Raw genomic sequence first — 22,789 nt, forward strand, 5'->3', positions numbered from 1 at the left:
GCCACCGCACCTAGTCTCTTCTGTAAAGTTTTTTTTTTTTGATGGAGTCTCCCTCTGTCACCAGGGCTGGAGTGCGGTGGCGCGATCTCAGCTCACTGCAACCTTCACCTCCCGGGTTCAAGCAATTCTCCTGCCTCAGCCTCCTGAGTAGCTGGGATTACAGGCGCCCACCAGTACACCCAGTTAATTTTTTGTCTTTTTTAGTAGAGACGGGGTTTCACCATGTTGGCCAGGCTAGTCTCAAACTCCTGACCTCGTGATTCGCCCTCCTCGGCTTCCCAAAGCGTTGGGATTACAGGCGTGAGCCACCACGCCTAGCCTCCTGTATACTTTAACTAGTCTCTAGATTACTTACATTATCTAATAAAATATAAATGTTATGTAAATAGTTGTTATACTGTATTATTTAGGGAATAATGACAAGATCTAAAAGTCTGTATATGTTCAGTACAGAGATAATTATTATTTTTTTTGAAATGCTTTGATTCACAGTTGGTTGAATCCACAGATGCAGAATCCGCAGATAGAGGTGGCTGACTGTCCTTTTATGAATTAATTGCTCATATGCCTTGTAAGTGTTCTGTATATAGTAAAGATATTAAACCTTTACATATATATACTTTGTAAAAAATGAACTTCTATAATTTACATACTATGCCCAATAGTTTTTGTCTGCCTTGCCGTATATGTCATTTAAATTATTCCTTTCTTCCCTCCTTGGCTGCATTTATGACTTTCCTAATAATATTTCTAAAAGACCACTATCATCTTGAAAGAGTACAGTACATAACCCATGACGCAGGGGAGAAACGGGTACAGCAGGCAACTCTGTTCAATTTGTATGGAAAAATGTCTTGCATTTTTTCACTTTTTTGACTTGAAATAATATTTTACATCATGATTCAATGTACCTCATGTAAGTATATATGTAAATATACATAGGTAAAGCATGTTAAGTAAATGTACATATCACATATAAGTATACAGGTATAAAATAAATAAAAGTTTTCTAAAACAGTACTATCATGTTTAAAAAAAAGTTTACATACTGTACTTTCTGTTGTCTTAGGATAGATGCATGAGAAGAAAGGATACTTTATAAGGTAAGAACTCAAAAGAGGCAGGTTTCAGTATGTTGTCCAGGCTGCAAGGCAGTCGCTCTTCACAGGTGTGATGCCAATACCGATCAGTGTGGGAGTTTTGCACTGCTCTGTTTCCAACCTCTGCCACTTCACCCCTCCTTAGGCAACCTGGTTGTCTCCTGCTTCTGGGAGGTCACTACATTGATGCTGAACTTAGTGCAGACACTCAATTGGCATCATGCACTACAGCCAAGAACTCCTGGACTCAAGCGATCCTCCCACTTCAGCCTCCTGAATAGCTGGGACTATAGATGCATGCTATCATGCCTGGTAGTACTATCCTTAATACCTGCCTTGTACACAGATATTTTTCCTTTTTTCGTAGGCTAGTTGATATCAAATTAAGTTGAGTTCATGAGCCATTAATAATACCCAACCCACAGTTGGAGAAACACCATAATAATTGAAGATGCTCTGGATCCAGGAAAGAAATATAAGTATAAGCATCCTTATGTTTTCAGAGTTTAATTAATTAAAAGAAGAGTTTCTGGAATTGGGCTGCTTAGTTCAAAATCTGGTTTATGAACCATGGGAACTTGGGCAGAGTTCTTCATCTCGCTGCCTGGTTTATTTAACTTTCAAACAGGGACAATATTAATTCCTACCTTATAGAAAAGTCATGAGAGTTAAATGAGATGGTATGTGTACAATACTTAAGAAGCATGTGAAAAGCATTCAAAAATGCTATGAGATACAAGTATTCCCATCTTTATGTTTTTGGAGTCTAATTAATTAACAGAAATCTGTATTATGTTACCTGAAATATGTATTATACATGTATCATCTCATTTAAACTCTCATGAATTTTCTATAAGGTAGGGATTAATACTGTCCCCATTTGACAGTTAAAGAAACTAGGCAGAGAGGTGAAGAAACCTGCCCAAGTTCCCATGGTTCATAAACCAGATTTTGAATTAAGCAGCCCAATTCCAGAAACTCTTCTTTTCAACTCCTCTGACCTTCCACTTGCTCTGCTGCAGCCCAATATGAGTCCAGGGGCACTAACCCCTAAGTGAGGAAGAAAACTGATTGCAAAATTTAGCACCAAAGCTATAGAAAGTTTTGAGGTTTCAATAAACCGTAAGGCAGTGGGACAGGAAAGAGATTAGAAAGCAGAGAGTGAGGGTGAATGAGGGTCCGCCATCAGAGTAGCCATAGGCTGTTTGCAAAGAACCTGTTCTTTTCTAAATCTTTCTGTTCCTGCCGAAGGAGGAGTAGGTAGAAGAAACATGAAGCTCAAATAAAACAAGTGCAGGAGGAATATTAGGTCATCGGGCCTGGTTTATCTGTCAGCATTAGGCAGATATCTGTAATGAAATTCCACTATAAACATATACATGCAGGCATTTGTCTATCTTATTTTTTAGATGCAAATCTGTATTGGAATGTATAAACAAGGGTGGGAGGGAAAGGGAGCTGAAGCCATTTTTTTGAGGCTAGGAACTGTAACAAAGGCTATCCCCAGGCAAAATTTAGCCTTTATGATGTTAATTGAGGCATACCTTCCTGCAGTCCAGGTTTTAGCAGAGTCCAGAGCCTTAAAGGAGAGTCTGCCAGAATTTGGGCTTTTATAGTCACTCACTCCAACCCTCTTTTTCTTTTCTTTAATGGCTTACTATTTGTGTTTAAGTTGAAAACTTAGCTTCTTCTACTGGAAGAAGATGATGGGTTTGGTTTTCTAATAAAAAGACTACTATCAAAGTGGCAGGAAGTCTTGTTCACGCAAGTCTTTAAAAACTGCTGCAGTAATTCAGGCCAGCATTTAGTAACATCACAACCAGGAAGTCCTTTTTTAGATCTAATCTACATCCATCTTGCTGCAATTTATAAATAAATGTTGGCTTCCCACCCCAGCCCTAGAGTGCTGAATGCCCAAGGAAAATTTAAAACAGTGACTGAGTGCATACCAAACAGAGCCATCAGCAGAGTTCATTCATTTGCATACAACACATTGTGATCCTCGGATAAAAGATGCTACATTTGTACAAAGCCTTGCTAATGTTTTTTACAAATTAGTCCCATAATTAAACCCCTGCAAATAGTAATTGCAAATACTTACTTCATTACTAAATAATTCCTATTCAGAAAAGAAAAATCCAGCTCATTTACTTATTTTATTGTTGGACAGATATATACAATAGATCTTTATCTGAAGACATAGGGCATTGAGCTCTTGCTGAGATAAATTAGGAACAATGCTGAGATAAATTAGGAACAATGCTTTCAAATCCTGTGCACCAGAAAAAAAAAATGTGCTTCAGCTTTGCAGGTGTTGGCTGGAGGTGGGAGTTTCATGGTTGCATATTAACTCTCTGACCTCCCCTCGATAGCCAGGTGACAGCTGCAGTGAGGTTTCTTTGAAGTGTGACATTCCTTCGGCACTTCAAAGGACCCAGGCCTCTGAGGCAGGTATGTTTGCTGGCCACACCTGGTACCTGCCAACCCCACTGTAGCAGCTGGTGGACAGGAAGCTCCTAGGAACTAGCCCAGGGTCTCTCTAATGAAGTACATCTGACTGATACTGTTCCAAAGTGGGAGAGAAAGGCCCTCACATCAGTGAAGAGCTTCAAGCTCTGTCGTTTTCTAAGGAAACAATGTCTCCTCCACCCAGGTCAGCACTTCATAGCCCGGAAAGCAGCAAGTATGGAATTTTGACTAGAAAGTGCCCTTTGTGAAAATCAAACTTTATTCACACAGGCAAGAGGTCTGAGCAGATTGCTAAAGAGAGACTTAGTTAAAAGTGAAATGTGAGCAGAATGCTAAGGCTGAAAACTATTGCTGGGAAAGGTAAATGTGAAAACACCCTAATAATTGAATCCAACATGCCAAAGGGAGCACTTTGAGGTCAGACCTAGAATAGGAAAATAACCCTGGCCTCGATCCAAGTTGGTTAAAAAGCACTTAGCACATACGATATACTCCACACCATTGCCAATCCCCCAAAACAACCACCTTTTGGTGCTTCTTCTGAGTAACAAGTTTTTGGGTTTTGTTTTGTTTTGTTTTGTTTTTTGAGATGCAGTCTTGTTCTGTCACCCAGGCTGGAGTGCAGTGGTATGATCTTGGCTCACTGCAACCTCTGCCTCCCAGGTTCAAGCGATTCTCCTGCCTCAGCCTCCCCAGACACTGGGACTACAGGTGCCCGCCACCACACCCAGCTAATTTTTGTATTTTTAGTAGAGTTGGGGTTTCACCATATTGGCCAGGCTGGTTTTGAACTCCTAAACTGGTGATTCACTCGCCTCAGCCTCCCAAAGTGCTGGGATTACAAGTGTGAGCCACCGCAACTGGCCCTGAGTAACAAGTCTTACTGAGTCCCTACAGTACATGACCTGGTGTCAGGAAGGTAAATAAAACGCAGTGCTTCTCATTTACCATCTGGTTGAGACTTTCAGCTGTAGACCTCCCTGTCAGGCATTTAGCCTCTAAAAACAGATGCCCTCAGGTCCAAATCAGAGCCCTTCCATTTGCTGTGAGTCCTTGGGCAAATGGACTTAATTTTTTTTTGTCTCAGTTCCACCCTCAGAGAATAGCAATGAGGATTAGAGAGAATGCATGTACAATGACTAGGACAGTGTCTGGAGCTCAACAACAGGTCAACAAATATGAGCTAATACTCTTACAGCTATTACAGGGAAGAAGATGATAAGGTGGGATGTGGCCTTGGAAAAACCACTGTCCCACCCAGCTTATGGATCACATTGACTGTCAATGAACTGTATCTGCACTCATAACTCACTTGTTTCTGGAGGAAGATAGGTCTTACACTAGCTGTTTATGTTCCACGGGAGAATGCTATGAACCTAGGAACCAGGTCTCTGGTGTTTTCTGTTTGTTTGTTTTTGTTTTTTTGGAAACAGCTTCTCACTTTGTTGCCCAGGCTGTAGTGTCATGGTGCAGTCTCAGCTTGATTGCAGCCTTGACCTTCTGGGCTCAAGCAATCCTCCCACCTCAGCCCCCTGAGTAAGCTGGGACTACAGGCATGCACCACCATGCCTGGCTAATTTTTGTATTTCTCATAGAGATGGGGCCTTGCCATGTTGCCTAAGCTAGTCTCAAACTCCTGGCTCAAGGGATCTGCCCACCTCCTCAGCCTCCCGAAGTGCTGGGATTCAGGCATGAGCCACTGCACCTGGCCTCCAGTGTATTTTCCTACAGCATCTGGCAGGGAAGCCAATGCAATGGACCTCACCCTGCCAAGGCGTGGCAATGAGCTGGAAGAGCCTATACTGATCCCACCCACTACCTCCCAGTAGCATGCATGCACAGTGCTCAGCTCATGGGCTTGCGGTGAGGATTAAGTAAGATCGTGAGGGTGATGCTCTTAGTGTAATGGCTGGCACATACTAAGGATTCAACACTTGTTTACTCCTCTTATTAAGTTAAGATACAACCATTGTGCCTGGAACAGCAAGTGATTCTTTTTTTTTTTTTTTTTTTTTTGAGACAGTCTTGCTCTGTCGCTCAGGCTGGAGTGCAGTGGCGCAATTTCGGCTCCCTGCAACATCCACCTCCTGGGTTCAAGCAAAATTCTCTACCTCAGCCTCCCAAGTGGCTGGGATTACAGGTGCTCGCCGCCACACCTGGCTCACTTTTGTAGCAGAGACTTGGCCAGGCTGGTCTTGAACTCCTGACCTCGTGATCCACCCGCCTCGGCCTCCCTAAGTGTTGGGCTTACAGGCATGAGCCACCATGCCTGGCCGGTAAGTGATTCTTTTCCATAAAAACATCCATTCCCATCGCTGAGCTAGCCCTTCCATAAAATGCAAGATAACTGCAGAGAGAAGACAAAGGCAGAGAGTGAAAGGCTCATTTAGCTTTGCATCCTCACATGCATTATAGAATATGGTCAGAGAATAGCTTCAGAATTCAGAAAGGTCAGGGTTGGAATCTTGACTGCACAACTTAGTAACCAAGTTACTTAGCCTCTCCAAGTCTCAGCATCCTCGTCTATAAAATGGAGAGAGAGGTCATACAAATGAAACATAAGGTATGTAAAATATCTAGCCTGTTAGAACACACCTAATAAGATACACTCATGGCACCAACTTTCTCTCATGGTTCTCCCTTCAAGCATTTTATATATTCCCTTTTAACGAGTACTTTGTAAAGGCTGTAAAAATTGGCTTGCAAAATAGCATAAGATTGCATGACGGCAAACATCGTTGCTTTCCTCCAGAAAGCATGAGCTAGTGAACCTAGCATGGCAGCATATCAGCTGTGCTTCCCATCCAGAGGTAAGACTGGGCCCAGCCAGAAGGGAAAGGCAGAAATTTACTCTGATTAACACCAACCCTTCCTTTTGACTACCTCCCAACAACTTTGTCTCCATTACCAACTAGGCAGTATCTTCCAGGCCTTTAACACACGCGCACACACACACACACACACACACACACACACGCACACACGCACAGAGAGAGAGAGAGACCTACATTTTATTTATCCCCCTCTTTTCTTCACATAGGTAGGAGTATGTACTATGATGTGGTAGAAATGGCCTGAACTTTGAGGCCAGACACACTGGTGATTTCCCAAAGGAAACTAGTTCAAATTGACCCAGTTTTGCTAAGGCCTCACCCCAGCCATGTCTACCTTCTCTATCAAGGTCAAGGCATGTACAATCTCTCACCTAAACCTCATAAAATAACCCCTGTCCAGACTCTCCACTCCACAACAATTCTCCTCTGTTAATCTCTCATTGGCTGCCATGAGGATCTATGTCCACATTTTACCCACCTCCTCCCCCACTGAACAACAATTCTGTGATTATGGGAGTGATGAACATTAATACTGCTACTATCACTGTTATGACAGCTTGCCTTTATTAAGGCATTGTGCTAAGGGCTATGGATATGTTAGATCATGTTATTTCTCATAACAACCCTGTAAACTGAGTATTATTTTTCCAATTTTTCAAATAAGAAAACTAAGACTCAGAGAACTTGGGTAACCTGCCCAAGGCCATAAGTCTCAAATATAGAAGCTCTGGAATTTCAAACAGGTTAGTTCATTCATTCATATATCCATTGATTCATTCCCTCAACATTCAAAATAGTTATTGAGTATATTCCCTGTGCCAGGAACCAGTGAAGCTAGGTTTTGGTTATCAACAAACAAGATGGATGCTATTCCTGTCTTAGAGGGATTTATCTTCAGTCTGATTCCAAATCCTGTTTCTTTACCACTACATGTATCATTTCCCAAATTAGGGATCAAACAGTCATACCAGTTAGTATAGTATACCTTAACCTGGAAAAGAACTGACACCTTCACTTACATGGAGACTGTAGCCTGATATACCCTGCCATCACCCTTCACAAGCAAAAGGAAAAATTTCTAAAGAGTTCTAGAAAATTCAGACTATATTCTGGAAGTACAACTCTAGAAGCCTGGGACCTCTGCATTCTAGTTCTGCTCAGTTTGAATATGGCACTAATGTGGAAGTCCACGAGTGTCTGTCACTCATGGCTGGCCACACCCCCTATTCTTGCACAGGTTCCCTCCCTGCCTGAGGAAGTATTTCTAACAGATATTTCAGTTCACTTCCTTCTCAGGCTGGCCTTGCCTCACTTCTAGGATTGTTTCTCTATCCATCTCCTACACACAGCCAGGCCACACAGGTAGGTTCCTACTTAGTATTTTAGTATGATTTCAGAAATACTGAGAAGCTAACAGTACCATCTCCTTCTCCAGGGCTACTGCACTGCCCATCTGCAGGGGCACAGACAACAGGATATGATAGGTGCCCCTGGGAGAAGAGGCTCTGTCTCTCCTCTCCCACAACACACTATTAATTCCTTACATACTCCCAAATGCCCCCAAATATACCAACATTTCCTTCTGCATTTAGAAAATTTTAAATGCAAATGACCTTCTAAAAGATCATATTCGGCAGACAGCGACAGACGGAGCTGCGGACCAAATTGGAACCTCTGGCTTAAGAGTAATCATGTTTCTTCAGTATTAGTGAGCAGGGAGATCAGGTCTATACGCTGGAGAAATTTGACTCGATGGGACAACAGACCTGCTTAGCCCATCCTGCTCAGTTCTCCCCAGATGACAAATATTCCCGACACCGAATCACCATCAAGAAACGTTTAAAGGTGCTCATGACCCAGCAACCGCGCCCTGTCCTCTGAAGGTCCCTTAAACTGATGTCTCTTCTGCCACCTGTTACCCCCTAGAGACTCCGTAACCAAACTCTTCAATCTGTGAGCCCTGATGCCTTTTTGCCAGCCATGCTCTTTGGCATCCAGTCTCATCATGGTGATTGATCATGCTTGTGCGAGGCAATCATGGTGGCATCACCTGTAAAGGGAACACGTTTAACTTTTTTTCTCATATTTTAAATTACTGCAAGATTATTAAAGATAAAATGATTTGAAGAAAAAAAAAGATCATATTCACACTAAGAGTCAAATCTTTTCCTGATGATATTTAGGGGTGGGAGTGGTAGGGGAGTGAGGGTGGAACACTTTGTGGCAGCCAAAATTGAAGGAGAATTCGGAGCATAGAAAAAAGTACTGAGGCCACCAGAGACAGATATTGCCCATGTCTGACCCCTTATACCAAATTTGGGCCTGGTTTTCAAAGTCACAAATACTCAAACCAAGAACAAAATAGGTTGAAATATAAGACACTGCTTTCTTTCCTTGTTCTTCACTTGTAACATCCCCCCCACACACACACATAAAATTCTGACACACTTCAGAGGGGAAAAATGATTTTTATAATGCCAAACCATCATATATTTTCTAGTTCTCAGAAGATTGATTGTAATGTGTTCACCTGCATATCATTTTAAGGACACAACTCAAGTTTCAGAAAAGAGGCATTCCTTGGTCATGTTCATAAGAAAATATAGCCTGTCTTTCACGAATAAGATGGGTTTCATTTAACATTCATTAAAGCGTGACTTACTTTCAGCTCATAAATCTTGAAAACAGATTCTGGCCCCCAGTGCACTGTTTTCATTGGCTAAGTCACTTTTTCTTTCCCTGACACTTTATAGTTTGTGTTTAAATATGAGACACAGCTAGTTTTGCCAGTGGGGGTTTCTGGTTTGACTTTACAAGAAAACACTGAACAAAATCCTCAAAGACTCACAACAGGTGTTCTATTTTCACCTCATGGTGAAATAGTACATTGTGTAGTAATGAAAAGAGAGTGAGAAAGGTAAGACAATGAAATATCCAGCCCAGCAGGACAGAAGATTTGAGATTTGGCTGGTTGGAAGTTTTAGAGCAGCTGTCATATTTGAAAGACTAAGTGCACATCTCTATAAATGCACTTAGTCCATCTATCCCTTTTAAAGAAGTCACCACTGGTTATGACATAAACTTGATGAAGAATATTGAAACTCAAATTGCAGACAGAGTGTGTCTGACAAGGTTTTGGGGGTGATGGTGGCAAGAGAATGGCCATTTTTAACAGAAAGAGGATGCAGATCTCATTTTTATTTGGAGGATGCAGATCACATTTTTCTGTCTGTTCACATCACAGGTATGGACTAACAACACTCTATGTGGCCTAAAAACCAACCAAATCAAGTTTCTATCAAGGCAGAAGAGGCAGGACAGCCAAGGAATTGAGCATAAAGGACACTCTACTGTGAGAGCTAGCCTTGATTTGACATGTGAGTAATGCCTTCCCTATATTGGGCTTAACTTCCAGGTAGCTCTTTAACTAAGGGAAATAATCAAAATAAGAATGATGATGACAATGGTAGCTAAGATTTATCAACTGCTTAATGTGGATCAGGCACTATTCTAAGTGCCTGATTTACTTACAGAAATTAACTTAATCCTGACAGCAGCCCTATGTGCAGGTACATTGATTATCCCCATTATACAGATGAGGAAACCAAAGCCTGGGGAGTTAAATGACTGGCTCATGGTCACACCATTAGCAAGGAACAAGCCAGGATAAAACAGCTAAAGAGGAAAGTTTTGGACAGGCTCATGACTACACATCATCATGAACAATACGTAGCCTTTTGTTAATGTTCTCTGCCATTAGGTGTCAGGAAACATACGACCTCAAACAATCTTCATACACAATGAAGAGATATAAGAAGATTTGGTAATCCAGGAAGTCTCGAAAGTTCTTCAGAAATGTTTAACCTATTTCAAAAATTTTCATTACTCTGCGCACACTATTCCTCATTACAGAAAGTGCTCAATAAACTTCTGTATGCTCCTATTACTATTTTTTGAGCTCTAAGTGTATTGTTCATGTAATCCTCACATAAATCCAATGAGGTGGGTGCCATTATGATCCCCCTTTACAGATGTGGAAACTAAGAAAAGGAGAGGCTAAATAATGTCCCAAGTTTACACAGCTGATACATGGTTTTCCCAGGATTCTAACCTGGACTCAGTACTCAGGGAGAGGATACATCTGTTGTGTTCATTGTTCAACCGCATACCGGGAACATCCATACGCTGAGTGATAATGAATAATTGTTGCTTAACAATATTTGTCAAACTGAATTAATATTATTATCAGACATGAATGTGAGTACCCAAAGACTCTTGTTTCCCTGATTACACATAAATCTTTATCCCTTTTGGTGTCTCAAACCAATAAATAATTCCAAGGGGAAAAATTCTATGTTCCTAACTAGTAGGCTCTTATTCTCTTCTATCTCTGCCTACTAAAAAAGCCAACTTGTGGCCAGGCACGGTGGCTCATGCCTGTAATCCCAGCACTTTGGGAGGGCGAGATGGGTGGATCATGAGGTCAGGAGATCGAGACCATCCTGGCTAACACAGTGAAACCCCATCTCTACTAAAAATACAAAACTTAGCCAGGCGTGGTGGTGGGCGCCTGTAGTCCTAGCTACTTGGGAGGCTGAGGCAGGAGAACGATGTGAACCCAGGAGGCAGAGCTTGCAGTGAGCCGAGATAGTGCCACTGCACTCCAGCCTGGGAGACAGAGCGAGACTCCATCTCAAAAAAAAAAAAAAAAAAAAAAAAAGCCTACTTGTTTTGTTTTTTCAAGGTCTAGCATTCTCTTCTCTGGAAGATTTCTCTGATCACTGCAACAAACTTAGTTATTTTCTCCTATGTGCTCTATAACCAGAGATCTTTACATTTAAATGTGCATCCAGGCCGGGCACAATGGCCCACACCTGGAATCCCAGCACTTTAGGAGGCCTAGCCAGCTGGATCATTTGAGCCCAGGAGTTCAAGACCAGCCAGGGCAACATGGCGAAATCCCGTCTCTATAAAAACTACAATGATTAGCTGGGCATGGTGGTGAGCACCTGTCATCCCAGCTACTAGGGAGGCTGAGGTGGGAGGATTGCTTGAGCCCTGCAGGTCATGACTGCATTGAGCCATGATCATGCCACTTGCACTCCAGCCTGGGCAGCAAAGCAACACCCTATCTCAAAAAAAAAAAAAAGTGCATCCAAGCTACCTGGGGATATTGTTAAAAGACAGATCCTCATTCAGTAGACCTGGGATGGAGCCTGAGATTCTATACTTTTAACATCCACTGATGCTGATGTTCTTGGCCTTGGTGCCACACTTTGAGAAGAGGAAAGCTCTACATCACTTCATCGCATGAGGGTCAGTTGAGGACCTCACTTGCCTTGCTATACTGTGAGTTCCTTGTGGGCAGGAGCTCTTTCTTACTCTTCTTTATATCTGGCACAACATTCTACTTCAATTATTTTGAAGCATTCTCGAAATAAGAGGAACCTGTTGGCTTCTCACCAAAATCCTGGAATTGGAATCTGGAGAACCAATTTCACTATCCTGCTGTAGGCTTGGAGAACTTGAAAAACTTGCCCAGAATTAGCAGGTTATCCCAAGCTCTTGCCAATGGTCAGATTTGTAAATTTTATCTGCTCCACTTCTCCCTTATGAGCCTAGCATCATTCTTAGCCAGTAGGGTACTCCCAGAGGACTCTGGGGAAATGGGCATGTGAGGACATCTTAGGTGGTCACAGTGGCTGGGGAGTGCCTGGCAGTTAGTGAGCAGGACCTGTGGTACTGCTGTGCAGGACAGTCCAACACGAGAATTGTTTTGCCCAAAATGCCAGGAAGGGAAACTCACAGAAGATAAGATTATGCCCAGATTTCAGGCTTGAATTTTCCAGCAGCAGAGAAGCAGCACGGCTAGCGGTTAAGAGCCTGGACTGAGATCCAGCACTTGCCCCTATGGGCTCAATGGCCATGAACAAGTGACTTCACCCCTTTTCTGTTCCTTCCTCTGCAAAATGAAGATGTTAAAGATCACACCTATTTCACCAGCTGGTGGAAAGCTTTAAAGGAAAAATAGCATATAAAGTACACAATGAGCTCTCAGTAAATACAACACATCATATTGTCACTATCACATTTTTTTGTTTTGCTTGTTGCTCATTTCAAACATGGTAATGATTGGAAATGGTCAAATTATTGGTCATCTCCCATCTAAACAAGAGAAAAGCTACTTTGTCAAAGCCAGCCTGGCTGGAGAGGTAATGTTTGTCTCCAGAGTCTGTTTTGGGTCCTGTTTCTCCTCCCCCGACCCATCACTTCCTTCCTCAAGCACCACTTTCCTTCCTTCTGGAGCCCTTTGGCTACCCAGGAGCACCCTTTCAGCTCCAAATGGGGTAGAAGCAGGGGTAGGGTGGAGTTTGACCTCCCAGAGCTAAGTGCTCTGGTTTTCTTCTATTCCGTTGATAAAACTCGCCCAGTGTATTCCTCCGAAACTGCTGCTACAAAAGCATAATACCCTCCCAGGGAACTTATTTGTATTTTGGCAGAGCCCTATACAGATACAATCTCTCACCCAAGAAAAAACTCAAATGGGGAGGGGTGGGGTTGGGAAGGGGTTACTCACTAATGTATGAGCCCTTTTTCTGGAAAGCTCTTTTTTCCTTAGACATCTGATGAACTCCTATTCATAATTTTGTATAAACTTGAGACATGATGTCTTCTGTGAAGTTTTCACACCTCCAACCCCCACCCTTGCCCCATCAAAGTTAGGCAGACGCTCCTCTGTGATCTCATCCCAAGCAGCACATGACTCCACTGCATTATGTTGCAATTCTTCACTTTCCTATGTGACAGAGGGTCCATTCACCCCATCCCTTTTAAGGTTCTCCTTTCTCCGAAGAATTTGGGGAAACGCGGAGGAGATTGCCTGCTTTGAGTCAGCACAGGCTGCACCCAGCTTCCACACCGCTCTACTCATTCCCAGTTGCCTTTGAGATGCCAGGTGACAGTCCTCAATTCCTGCTGCTTTGTTATGCAAAGCCAAAAGCTTTCTCTGAATCTCCTTCTCTCCTTCCAGACCACAGGCCCAGCCACAGAGGAGGAGAGGCTGACTACTCAAAAAGAAGTAGTTCAAGTTTAATTTTTAAGTCAAAGAGCCATCACACCTGGGTAACTCATGTCAGTCTCCTAGTATGTGAAATGGTGAGAATCAGTTTTTGTTCCAATAGCAATTTTTCCCTTCTTTTTGCCCTTACTTGTCCAATCCCCAGCTCTGAGCCATCCATAGTTCTCTCACCCAAACTAAGCCAGGAGTGATTTGAAGGCAGGGATTGTGCCATATTCATCTCTACATCTCTAGGCACTAATAGGGTGCCTGGCACCAAAGTTAGTGAGAAGGAAGAAGCCTTGGGCACAGAGCCTTTTTCATCACCCTCCTAGCCACACCTCTTTGGCAACCTATCTCCCCAAGTGTGGGTAATTCCAGCCTGCTCAGAACTTCTACTTGCCAGGGTCTGAGGCCATCTGAGAGATGAACTGGGCCAAATGAGAGAGAAAACAGATTAAACAGGCCTTGATTTTTTTAACCACGCTTGGATAATTATCTTTAGAATTTGATTTTGCTCTTTTTACTTAGTCCAAAATGCATATATCATTAAATTCTTATGATTTGACCATACTTTACAACAGTGACATTTGCAATTACAGTTTTGAGTTCTTCTCTACCAACAATGGAGCAAGTTTTGGTACTATAACTCAGGAATAGCCTATTTGGTTGAGATAATTACGCTGCCTATTTAAAATAAATGAAGATGACTTGGGAATTAGGATCAGGAAGAAGGATTTAGTCTTTAGTTCAATTTAATCACCAAACATCATCTCTGTATATTTAAAAGAACAAGATATAAAAATACAATAATTTTCACTGAGTGTTTTTATCTCAAACATTGTTGATATTTTTAATCTGGATTTCCACTTAACTTCAAGTATCTATTAGGCAGCCTGCTCTGGCGAAGAGCTTTGCAATCAGGCAGACCTAGGTTCAAATCCTGGTCCTACCACTTCCTACATATGCAAACTCAGACACAGGGGTCACCCAGGACAGTACAGAGTTCTGGATCATACGAACTGGCAAAATTCTGATTTAGTAAGTCTTAAATGGGACCTGGTTCAATTTTGAAATACGTTTACACTTAAAGAAAAGTTGCACATGACAAGACCCCATCTGATATCATTTGGTTGGGTCCCCACCCAAATCTCATCTTGAATCATAGTTACCATAATCCCCATGCGTCATGGAAGGGACCAGGAGGAGATAATTGTATCATGGGGGGTGGGGGTTACCACATGATTCTTATGATAATGAGTTAGCTCTCATGATAGCTGATGGTTTTATAAGGGGTTTCCCCCTTTGCTGAGCACTCATTCTCTCTCCTGCCACCCTGTGAAGAGGTACCTTCTGCCATGATTGTAAATTTCCTGAGGCCTCCCCGACCATGTGGAATTGTGAGTCAATTAAACTTCTTTCCTTTATAAGTTACCCAGTCTCAGGTATGTCTTTATTAGCAGCATGAGAATCGACTAATACACCATCCCTACAAAAATTTTTAAAATTAGCTGAGCCTGGTGCTATGCACCTGTTCCAGCTACCCAGCTACCCAGGAGGCTGAAACAGAAGGATCACTTGAGCCCAGGAGTTTAAGGCTACAGTGAGTTATGTCACTTTACTCCAGCCTGGGTGACAGAGCAAGACCTTGTCTCAAAAACAAAACAAAACAAAAAAAAAAAGGAGGAAAGAAAGAAAAGAAAAATTTGTTGCAAAAACAGTACAGACAGTTTCCATATGTCCTTTACCTAGCTTCTTTTAATGTTAGCAACTTGCATAGCCATAACACAATTATCAAAGATAAGAAATTAACATTGACACAATGCTATACCTACATGGAGTGATACTTATTCAATTTTCACCAGTTTTTCCACCAAAATCTTTTTCTCTTACAGGATTCCACATTACATTTTGTCGTCATGTCCCCTTAGTCTCCGCCACACTATGACAGTTCCTTAGTCTTTCCTTGACTTTCATGACCTAGACACTTTTGAAGATGAGTGGTAAATATTTTATAGAATGTTGCTCAATTTGTGTTTGTCTGATGTTTTCTCAAGATGAGATTGATGTTTTACATTTTTAGCAAGAATGCCACCAAAGTGAAGTGCCCTTCTCAGTGTATCGTTTTGGGTTAGGAGATATCATTATATCTCACTACTGGTGAGGTTAACCTGGATCACTCAATTAAGGTGGTGTCTGCTGGAGTTTTCTGCTGTCAAGTTAGTATGTCTCCATTTGTGATTAATAATCTTGAGGGAGATACTCTGAGAGAGTAAATATTGTGTTTCTCCTCAAACTTCCACACACTGATGTCTGCAACAATTATTAATGGGGTATTCTAATGGTGAGTTTCTATTTCCTTCCTTCTACCTTTATTAGTTAGAATTTTCCAGGAAGAGTTCTGTAAGGAAAAGTTGTGCCTTCTCTTCATTTTTTCAATTACTTATCAATATCAGTATGGACTCGTGGATATTTATTTTATTCTGAGTTTTAATTCAATGCTATCATTATTTTGTTCTTCAAGATAATCTAATTTTTTAAGAGACAAGGTCTTGTTCTACCACCCAGGCTGGAGTACAGTGGCACCATTGTGACTCACTGCAGGCTTGAACTCCTGAACTCAAATGATCCTCCCGTCTCAGCCTCCTGAGTAGCTGGGACCACAGATGTGCACCCCTATGCTTGGCTAATATGGTTTTTTTTGGTAGAAATGGGTCTCACTTTGTTGTCTGGGCTGGTCTTGAACTCCTGGTTTCAAGTGATCCTCCCACCTTGGCCTCCCAGTGTTTGGATTACAGGCATGAGCCACTGCACCTGGCCTTGAATAATCTGACTTTTTAAAGCTAGTTAAGGAATCGTTGACTTAGTCTCTCTGTTTTCTCATCTGTAAAATGAAAACAATAACAACATTCCTCTTAAAGTGTTAGGGTGAAGATTAATAACATCATGTGTGTAAAGCCCTCAGCTCATCGCTTACTTACAGTAGACTTTCAATATATATTACTATATTGTCAAGAGAGGCATTATGTAAATATCTGTGTTAGATACAGACAGGAGCTGGCAGCATAGTGTAGTCTGGTCAATCATGGAATAGATCTTAGGAAAACAAATAACTCAGGAATTCCATTTTGGAGGAAGAAGAGCAGAACTAGCTCTGCTACTAACTAGCCACTAATGTTAGACAAATCACCTCTCCATCTGAAACTCAATTTCCTCATAGATAAACATTGGAGGGCCTTTCCAATTCTAACACTGTGTGATACTAACTATTTGAGATATATGGAAAAATTTGGTAACTTACGCAAAGTGAAAAAACAGATCAATGATGCTTCTACAATGACTTGGAGAAGAGACTAATATCCATGAAAACATAACCCAAGTTTTTGCTGCCATTGTAGAAACAGCAATGACAAGAGCAGGGAAAATGACACATGTGGTTTTATTCTTGTCAGGTTCCTGCTCCATCTCCTAGTAAAATCCACATTATTTCCCTACCATTGAGTCTTACATATGACTTTTTTTTTTTTAATTATTCCTATCAATGACAAACAAGCAACTTCTTTTTGTAGTACTTGCAATTACATAATTGTGTTTTTAAAATTCATGCAAAAAAATGAAAATTGTTTAAAATAAAACAAACTATGATGTTCGTCTGTATCGTTATGTATCACCAGGGTCTAAGACACTGCCTAGCATTTACTATGAGATCAAATTTTTTTTTTTTTTTTTTTTTTTTGAGACGGAGTCTCGCTCTGTCGCCCAGGCTGGAGTGCAGTGGTGCGATCTCTGCTCACTGCAATCTCTGCCTCCCGGGTTCACGCCATTCTCCTGCCTCAGCCTCCCAAGTAGCTGGCACTACAGGCACCCACCACCACGCCTGGCTAATTTTTTGTATTTTTAGTAGAGACAGGGTTTCACCGTGTTAGCCAGGATGGTCTCGATCTCCTGACCTCGTGATCCACCCGCCTCGGCCTCCCAAAGTACTGGGATTACAGGCATGAGCCACCGCACCCGGCCCAAAAAATATTTTTTGATTAAACAAATGAATCAAGAATGAACAAATGAATGGCCATAGATATTACAAAAGAGAGAAGTATATCATAAGAGGATAACAATAATATGATCACTGCAATGGAGTTGTGGAGTAGTGCCTGTGTTGGGGAGAAGATGAAAAATCGTTCCTCATGTCTCACAGATTAAAAGGGCAGAATCCTGGAGATGGTTGAAGTAGGAGCTGCTACCCACTACTCCCTCTCCAACTTCCCCCTCTGAAAAAATGCCCTTTAACACTGACACTCAACCTCACATGGTGAGCAAAAACTGCTGGCCCAAGGTCCTGGCCTCTGCCACAGGCTATGAGCCTCATTCAGGTTCCACATTTAGTGTGACACAGATGTTACTTCCTCCTAAAGTTAAGGACATGGACTTAAACAATTCATAAGCACCTCCAAAAATAACTTCCATGTGCTCTGTAAATACCACCTCCAGACATACTCCAAAATTAAATTCCTGCCTCATTTGTTTTCCCGACACCTGCTCCTCAACTGACCAAACTGTTTCCCGTAAGCATTTAACATGCTCTCTTCTGGGGAAACACTGGCTACAGGAACCACACTGGAGAGCTGCCTTACACAAAAGACCAACACAAAACAAAGTACTTGTGCTGCTTTAGTAACATTCCCTGGATAAGGTGCAAGAGGGGTGGGCATTTCACCAAATTGTACTCCACAGTGAATAGCATTATAGCACAAGGAATGTTTCCAGGGTAATCCCCTCCATGCTGTCTTTGTTTTCTAATTAGGCTTTCTTACAGTAAGCTTATAATGTCTCCTACAGACTATGGGCACCAGATCACAGAGGCAGCCAGACCTGTGATGTAAGGAAACACAGAAAGTGGCCTTGGATCAAACATGAGCTTCAAAGATTGACGGTCCTCCTCCATCCCTTATGAAACTACCATAACCTGAAGCCTTTCATCCTGGTGGCTCCGAAGCCTAAGCCAGTGCTTTTTTTTCCCCCTGTTGCCCAAGCTGAAGTGCAGTGGCATGATCTTGGCTCACTGCAACCTCCACCTTCCAGGTTCAAGTGATTCTACTGTCTCAACCACCCGAGTAGCTGGGATTACAGGTGTGCAACACCAGGCCCAGCTGATTTTTGTATTTTTAGTAGAGACAGGGTTTCACCATGTTGGCCAGGCTGGACTTGAACTCCTGACCTCAAATGATCCACCTGCCTCGGCCTCCCAAAGCATTGGGATTAAAGGTGTGAGCCACCACACCCCACACCCAGCCCTAAGCCAGTGCTCTTAAGAAGAAAACTGAGGCCAGCATGGTGGTTCATACCTGTAATCTCAGCATTTTGGGAGACTGAGGTGGGACAATTGCTTCAGGCCAGCTTGGGCACATAGCAAGACCTCGTCACCACTAAAAATTATAAAAACATTAGCTGGGCGTGATCCCAGTTACTCAGGAGGCTGAAGCAGGAGGATCACTTGAGCCGAGAGGTTGGAGCTATAGTAAGCAGTGATTGCGCTACTGCACTCCAACCTGGGTGACACAACAAGACCCTGTCTCAAAAAAAAAAAAAGAAAACTCTGAGACCTTGAACCCATTACTGCTAATAAACCCAATAACTTTTCATTCTGCCTAACAAAAATAGACCCTCCTTTAAAAAGTGGTTGCCAAGGGCACTCCAAGGTCATCAGGCAAGTGAAATAAGAGACAGCTTGATAGAGAAGAAAGAGAACTTGGCTTTGGAGTTAGACCGTTTAGTTCCTCATTATGGCCATTTCTAACTACATAATGATGTTTAGTTACTTAAGTGCTCTGAAATGCAGTGGCCTCCATTACAAAATGGAGCCAACAAAAAAAAATAAGTATCTCCTGGTGTTGTATTTAATAAGATAATGGACTCAAAAGTGCCTGGCACAAAATAGGGGTGTAATAAACGTTAATTTCCTTTTCTGCCTCTACAAACCTGCCTGAGCCAATCAAGGAAGAGAAGGAAGGCGAGGAAGTAAAAATGGTTAAGAATTACATTTTAAGTCCCATTTCCACTCAGCTGCTTTTCCTAGCTCAGCAGAGAACATGTCAGACTAAAGAAGATCAAATAATCTTTGGGGTGAGTTGCCCTGATAAAGAAATATGCTGAAACAGCCTGTATGTTCTCAAAGTAAGAAACCAAAAGGGGAAAGTTCAGGACCTGTAAATAGATCCTTTTCATGCCCAAGTTCTGCAGATTTTACAACTTGCTGGGATATTTCCCAGGGAAATCAGAGAGAGGGGATAGTAAGAGGTGGCAGGGGGTTGGCGGGGAGGATTTCTATATTCCCATCACAGATCATTTAACTCTATTTGCAGCTCAGGAACCCCAGAGCACAGGAGACAGACCACTGAAAATTTCGTGCTTATTTTACCTCTTCACTGTCATTACTTTAAACATGTGTCTTAGCAGGAGTATTATTAGTTCATGACACAGTAGACATGGATAAGCATTTTTATGGAATTTTAGGGTGGGGAGAGAATAGATATATACCACTCTAGCCCAAAGTCATCCTGTGGTCGCTACTTAATACAAGTGAATTACATAGTGCCACCGGCAGAAGATGGAATTGATACTGCTTTACAAAATAACAACCTTGCATACATAGGTGGTAAGAAAAGCAAGGAAATGACTACCACAAAAATCAGGGTAGTGGATACCTCAAGACAGGAGAAGGGAGGTACGTCTAGAAGGTAAACAAAGGAGGGACGTCTGGGCTGGCCATGTTCCATTTCTTGATGGAGGGTATTCACTTTGTAATTATTCATTGTACTATACACTTATGCCTTCTGTTTGCATATTCTATTTCATAATTTTTAAAGGTTTAAAAAAAAGAAAATAATAACCTCTCTTCATTGAGAAAATAATACTTTGCTGTAGGTTTCAGCCCTAGGTATTGCAACATTACCATCATCCTCAGTTGATGTTCTTGTTCCTCCCATAGATTTTTATTCTGGAAGAAGAAGAGGAGGGTAGTATTTTTTTTTTTTTTTTTAAGACAGAGTCTCACTCTGTCACCCAAGGCTGGAGGCCAGTGGCACGATGTCGACTCACTGCAATCTCTGCCTCCTGGATTCAAGAGATTCTCTGCCTCAGCCTCCCGAATAGCTGGGATTACAAGTGCCCGCCACCACGCCTGGCTAATTTTTGTATTTCTAGTAGAGATGGGGTTTCACCACTCTGGCCACGCTAGTCTTGAACTCCTAACCTCAAGTGATCTGCCCACCTCGGCTTCACAAAGTGCTGGGATTACAGGCATGAGCCGCTGTGCCTGGCTAGGAGGGTGGATTTTTGAAGAGCCACAGGTAGACTGCTGTTAATACTCCTGTATAGATAACATACCAGGGAATGTTTTAATACAGGAATATGCTTGAGATATATACACACAAACATAATACACACACACACACACACACGTAATTTTTTTTTTTTTTTTTTTAGAGAGAGACAGGGTCTTACTATGTTGCCCAGGCTGGTCTCAAACTCCTGGCCTCAAGCAATCCTCCCGCCTGGCCTCCCAAAACGCTGGGATTATAGGTGTGAGCTACTGCATCCAGGCTTTTGGGGTATATTTCAAAGAGTCCAATTACTCTTGAGTCAGAACTCAGTGAAGCTCTACAAGATACCAAAATGTTCTCCAAGGGGTACGCAGCATTCGCAAATCAGAGTCATCAGATGCAAAGAAAGGGAATACAAATGGGCTTATGAAATCATTGGAAAAAATACACAATTTTTCAGGAAATATTAAGAACTCAGTTCCTCCTCCAATTCAGGGCATAGCAGAGCCTCAGGGCCTCTATGTGAAGAAAATCCCTCCTGTGTTTGGCATCTGAGTGACTCACCCAGAAAACCATCCACTGCGTGCAGCAAAGAGGAAATGAATCATGGAAGCTTCTGACCTTTGCACTTGTCATCTCTGCACAGGGAAACCACCCACAGACAGTCTCAGCAGAACTGGAGTCAGGGCAGTCAAACAAAGCACACACAGAAATGATGCAAATTCACTGGCAGGGAAGAGCAAGAGAATCAGGGCAAGAGAACGCAGCTCAGGGGTTGCAAATACAGGATAAACATTGGTTTTGTGATACAGAAAACTTAGCAGTTGAAACGGCATTGAGGATGATTTGGCAGTGCCCACTGACCTGTTGTTTTAAGCAGGAATCTGAACCCTTACCCTGCTGGCTGGGGGTGGGAGTGGAGTGGAATGGCATGGAAGAAAACAATGACCTTTGAATCTCCATCTTATATTTGGTATTTGGAGAATTTGCTTGGCTTGCGTTAGAGGAAGTAGGCCAAACTAATGCCAGTATGAGAGTTGGAATGGATTTGATAGAGTCACATTTAAGAAGATGAAAGCCAACGACTGCATTTTGAAAAGGCCATGAGTTCACAATAACTGGTCCAGGAGTACTAACACAATCTGAAGAATTATCTACAGCCATAGTCCAATACTTCACGTTGTGATTTGTTTTAAACAAAATCAGAATGCCTTTAAAATGCTAATTTGGAAGATAACTATAGTTCATCCTAAAACATGTACAGAGTAGAAAGCAAACACCTAGCGAGGACAGAAGGGCAAACCTCAAACTGCCTACATTACTGAATACAAGTGCATCAGGACTGTACGCTGAGATGCGATTGCTCTCAGCTTGTCTGCTCACCCATCAATGATGAGGGGGATAAGTGACTACCTACTGAGTTGCAGAGTTCAAAGGCATTTCCCTTCACCCCAAGGTGAGTTTTAAATGCAATTTCCCTTCTCACATGGGTCTACAAAGTACAGCTTCCTAAATACCTTTTTTAAAAAGAATATACCATCCCTCAAAAAACATCACCCAGGCCTTTGCCCTCAGGATAAACTTGGCAAGGAAACCTTGTCCTTACTAGTTAGAAGACTGGGAATTAGGCACTCGTATGCCACACAGTTTAATACGGAGCTCTCTCCTGTGCTTGATAACTCAGGCTGATAGAAGACATTGGATATTGGATGGTGTTCTGGTCACAGCTCAAGAAGGAAGATTTGGGGCTGATCTTAGAAACTTCCCTGTCCCTTCCATCCCACTTCTCACTCTGGCTACCTTCATCTTCTCTCTTCTTACCCACTTCAACATCACTTTACTTTAGAGAAAGGAGATTAGTCATTTCCAAGTAGAGAGGCAGCATTTATTGCCCTGCACCCTGTAGTTGCCCTTAGCATTTACCAACGGAAATGGAAGTGATTCAGTCTTCTCTCACATCACAGAACTATAGTGTGATCCTTTGCACACCGTTAAGTGATTTACATACAA

The 22,789-nt window shown here is 42.1% G+C and overlaps 1 long non-coding RNA gene and 2 pseudogenes across 1 annotated transcript, besides 6 other annotated features; 2 read left to right on the forward strand and 1 right to left on the reverse strand.

Annotated features, from left to right (window-relative positions):
* Positions 766-1,711: an enhancer, noted in NCBI's record as "H3K27ac hESC enhancer chr12:76351262-76352207 (GRCh37/hg19 assembly coordinates)". NCBI's record gives its function as "activates a minimal SCP1, AML or CMV promoter by ChIP-STARR-seq in primed H9 embryonic stem cells {active_cell/tissue: H9 hESC(primed)}" and the evidence as "EXISTENCE:reporter gene assay evidence [ECO:0000049][PMID:30033119]".
* RN7SL734P (RNA, 7SL, cytoplasmic 734, pseudogene) lies at positions 1,117-1,414 on the reverse strand (annotated as a pseudogene).
* LOC100289143 (NOP10 ribonucleoprotein homolog (yeast) pseudogene) lies at positions 8,036-8,530 on the forward strand (annotated as a pseudogene).
* Positions 9,536-10,346, forward strand: LOC124902969 (uncharacterized). Its single transcript, XR_007063378.1, has 2 exons — positions 9,536-9,780; positions 10,164-10,346. It is a non-coding gene; the product is annotated as an uncharacterized LOC124902969 (long non-coding RNA).
* Positions 20,758-21,957: an enhancer, noted in NCBI's record as "P300/CBP strongly-dependent group 1 enhancer chr12:76371254-76372453 (GRCh37/hg19 assembly coordinates)". NCBI's record gives its function as "activates an origin of replication core promoter dependent on BRD2, BRD4, P300/CBP, MED14 and CDK7 cofactors, with strong dependence on P300/CBP, by STARR-seq in HCT116 cells {active_cell/tissue: HCT116}" and the evidence as "EXISTENCE:reporter gene assay evidence [ECO:0000049][PMID:35650434]".
* Positions 21,286-21,455: an enhancer, noted in NCBI's record as "active region_6672". NCBI's record gives its function as "activates an Ori minimal core promoter by ATAC-STARR-seq in GM12878 lymphoblastoid cells {active_cell/tissue: GM12878}" and the evidence as "EXISTENCE:reporter gene assay evidence [ECO:0000049][PMID:35858748]".
* Positions 21,332-21,476: an enhancer, noted in NCBI's record as "145 bp enhancer 5 fragment used in the MPRA reporter construct; PK_construct_1559". NCBI's record gives its function as "activates an SV40 promoter by MPRA in HepG2 and K562 cells {active_cell/tissue: HepG2 | K562}" and the evidence as "EXISTENCE:reporter gene assay evidence [ECO:0000049][PMID:23512712]".
* Positions 21,397-21,410: a transcriptional cis regulatory region, noted in NCBI's record as "HNF4 motif; enhancer activity is reduced when this motif is scrambled". NCBI's record gives its function as "necessary for full MPRA enhancer 5 activity {active_cell/tissue: HepG2 | K562}" and the evidence as "EXISTENCE:site-directed mutagenesis evidence [ECO:0005528][PMID:23512712]".
* Positions 21,486-21,535: an enhancer, noted in NCBI's record as "active region_6673". NCBI's record gives its function as "activates an Ori minimal core promoter by ATAC-STARR-seq in GM12878 lymphoblastoid cells {active_cell/tissue: GM12878}" and the evidence as "EXISTENCE:reporter gene assay evidence [ECO:0000049][PMID:35858748]".

Source organism: Homo sapiens, chromosome 12, assembly GCF_000001405.40.
Source record: "Homo sapiens chromosome 12, GRCh38.p14 Primary Assembly".
NCBI classification, from domain to species: domain Eukaryota; kingdom Metazoa; phylum Chordata; class Mammalia; order Primates; family Hominidae; genus Homo; species Homo sapiens.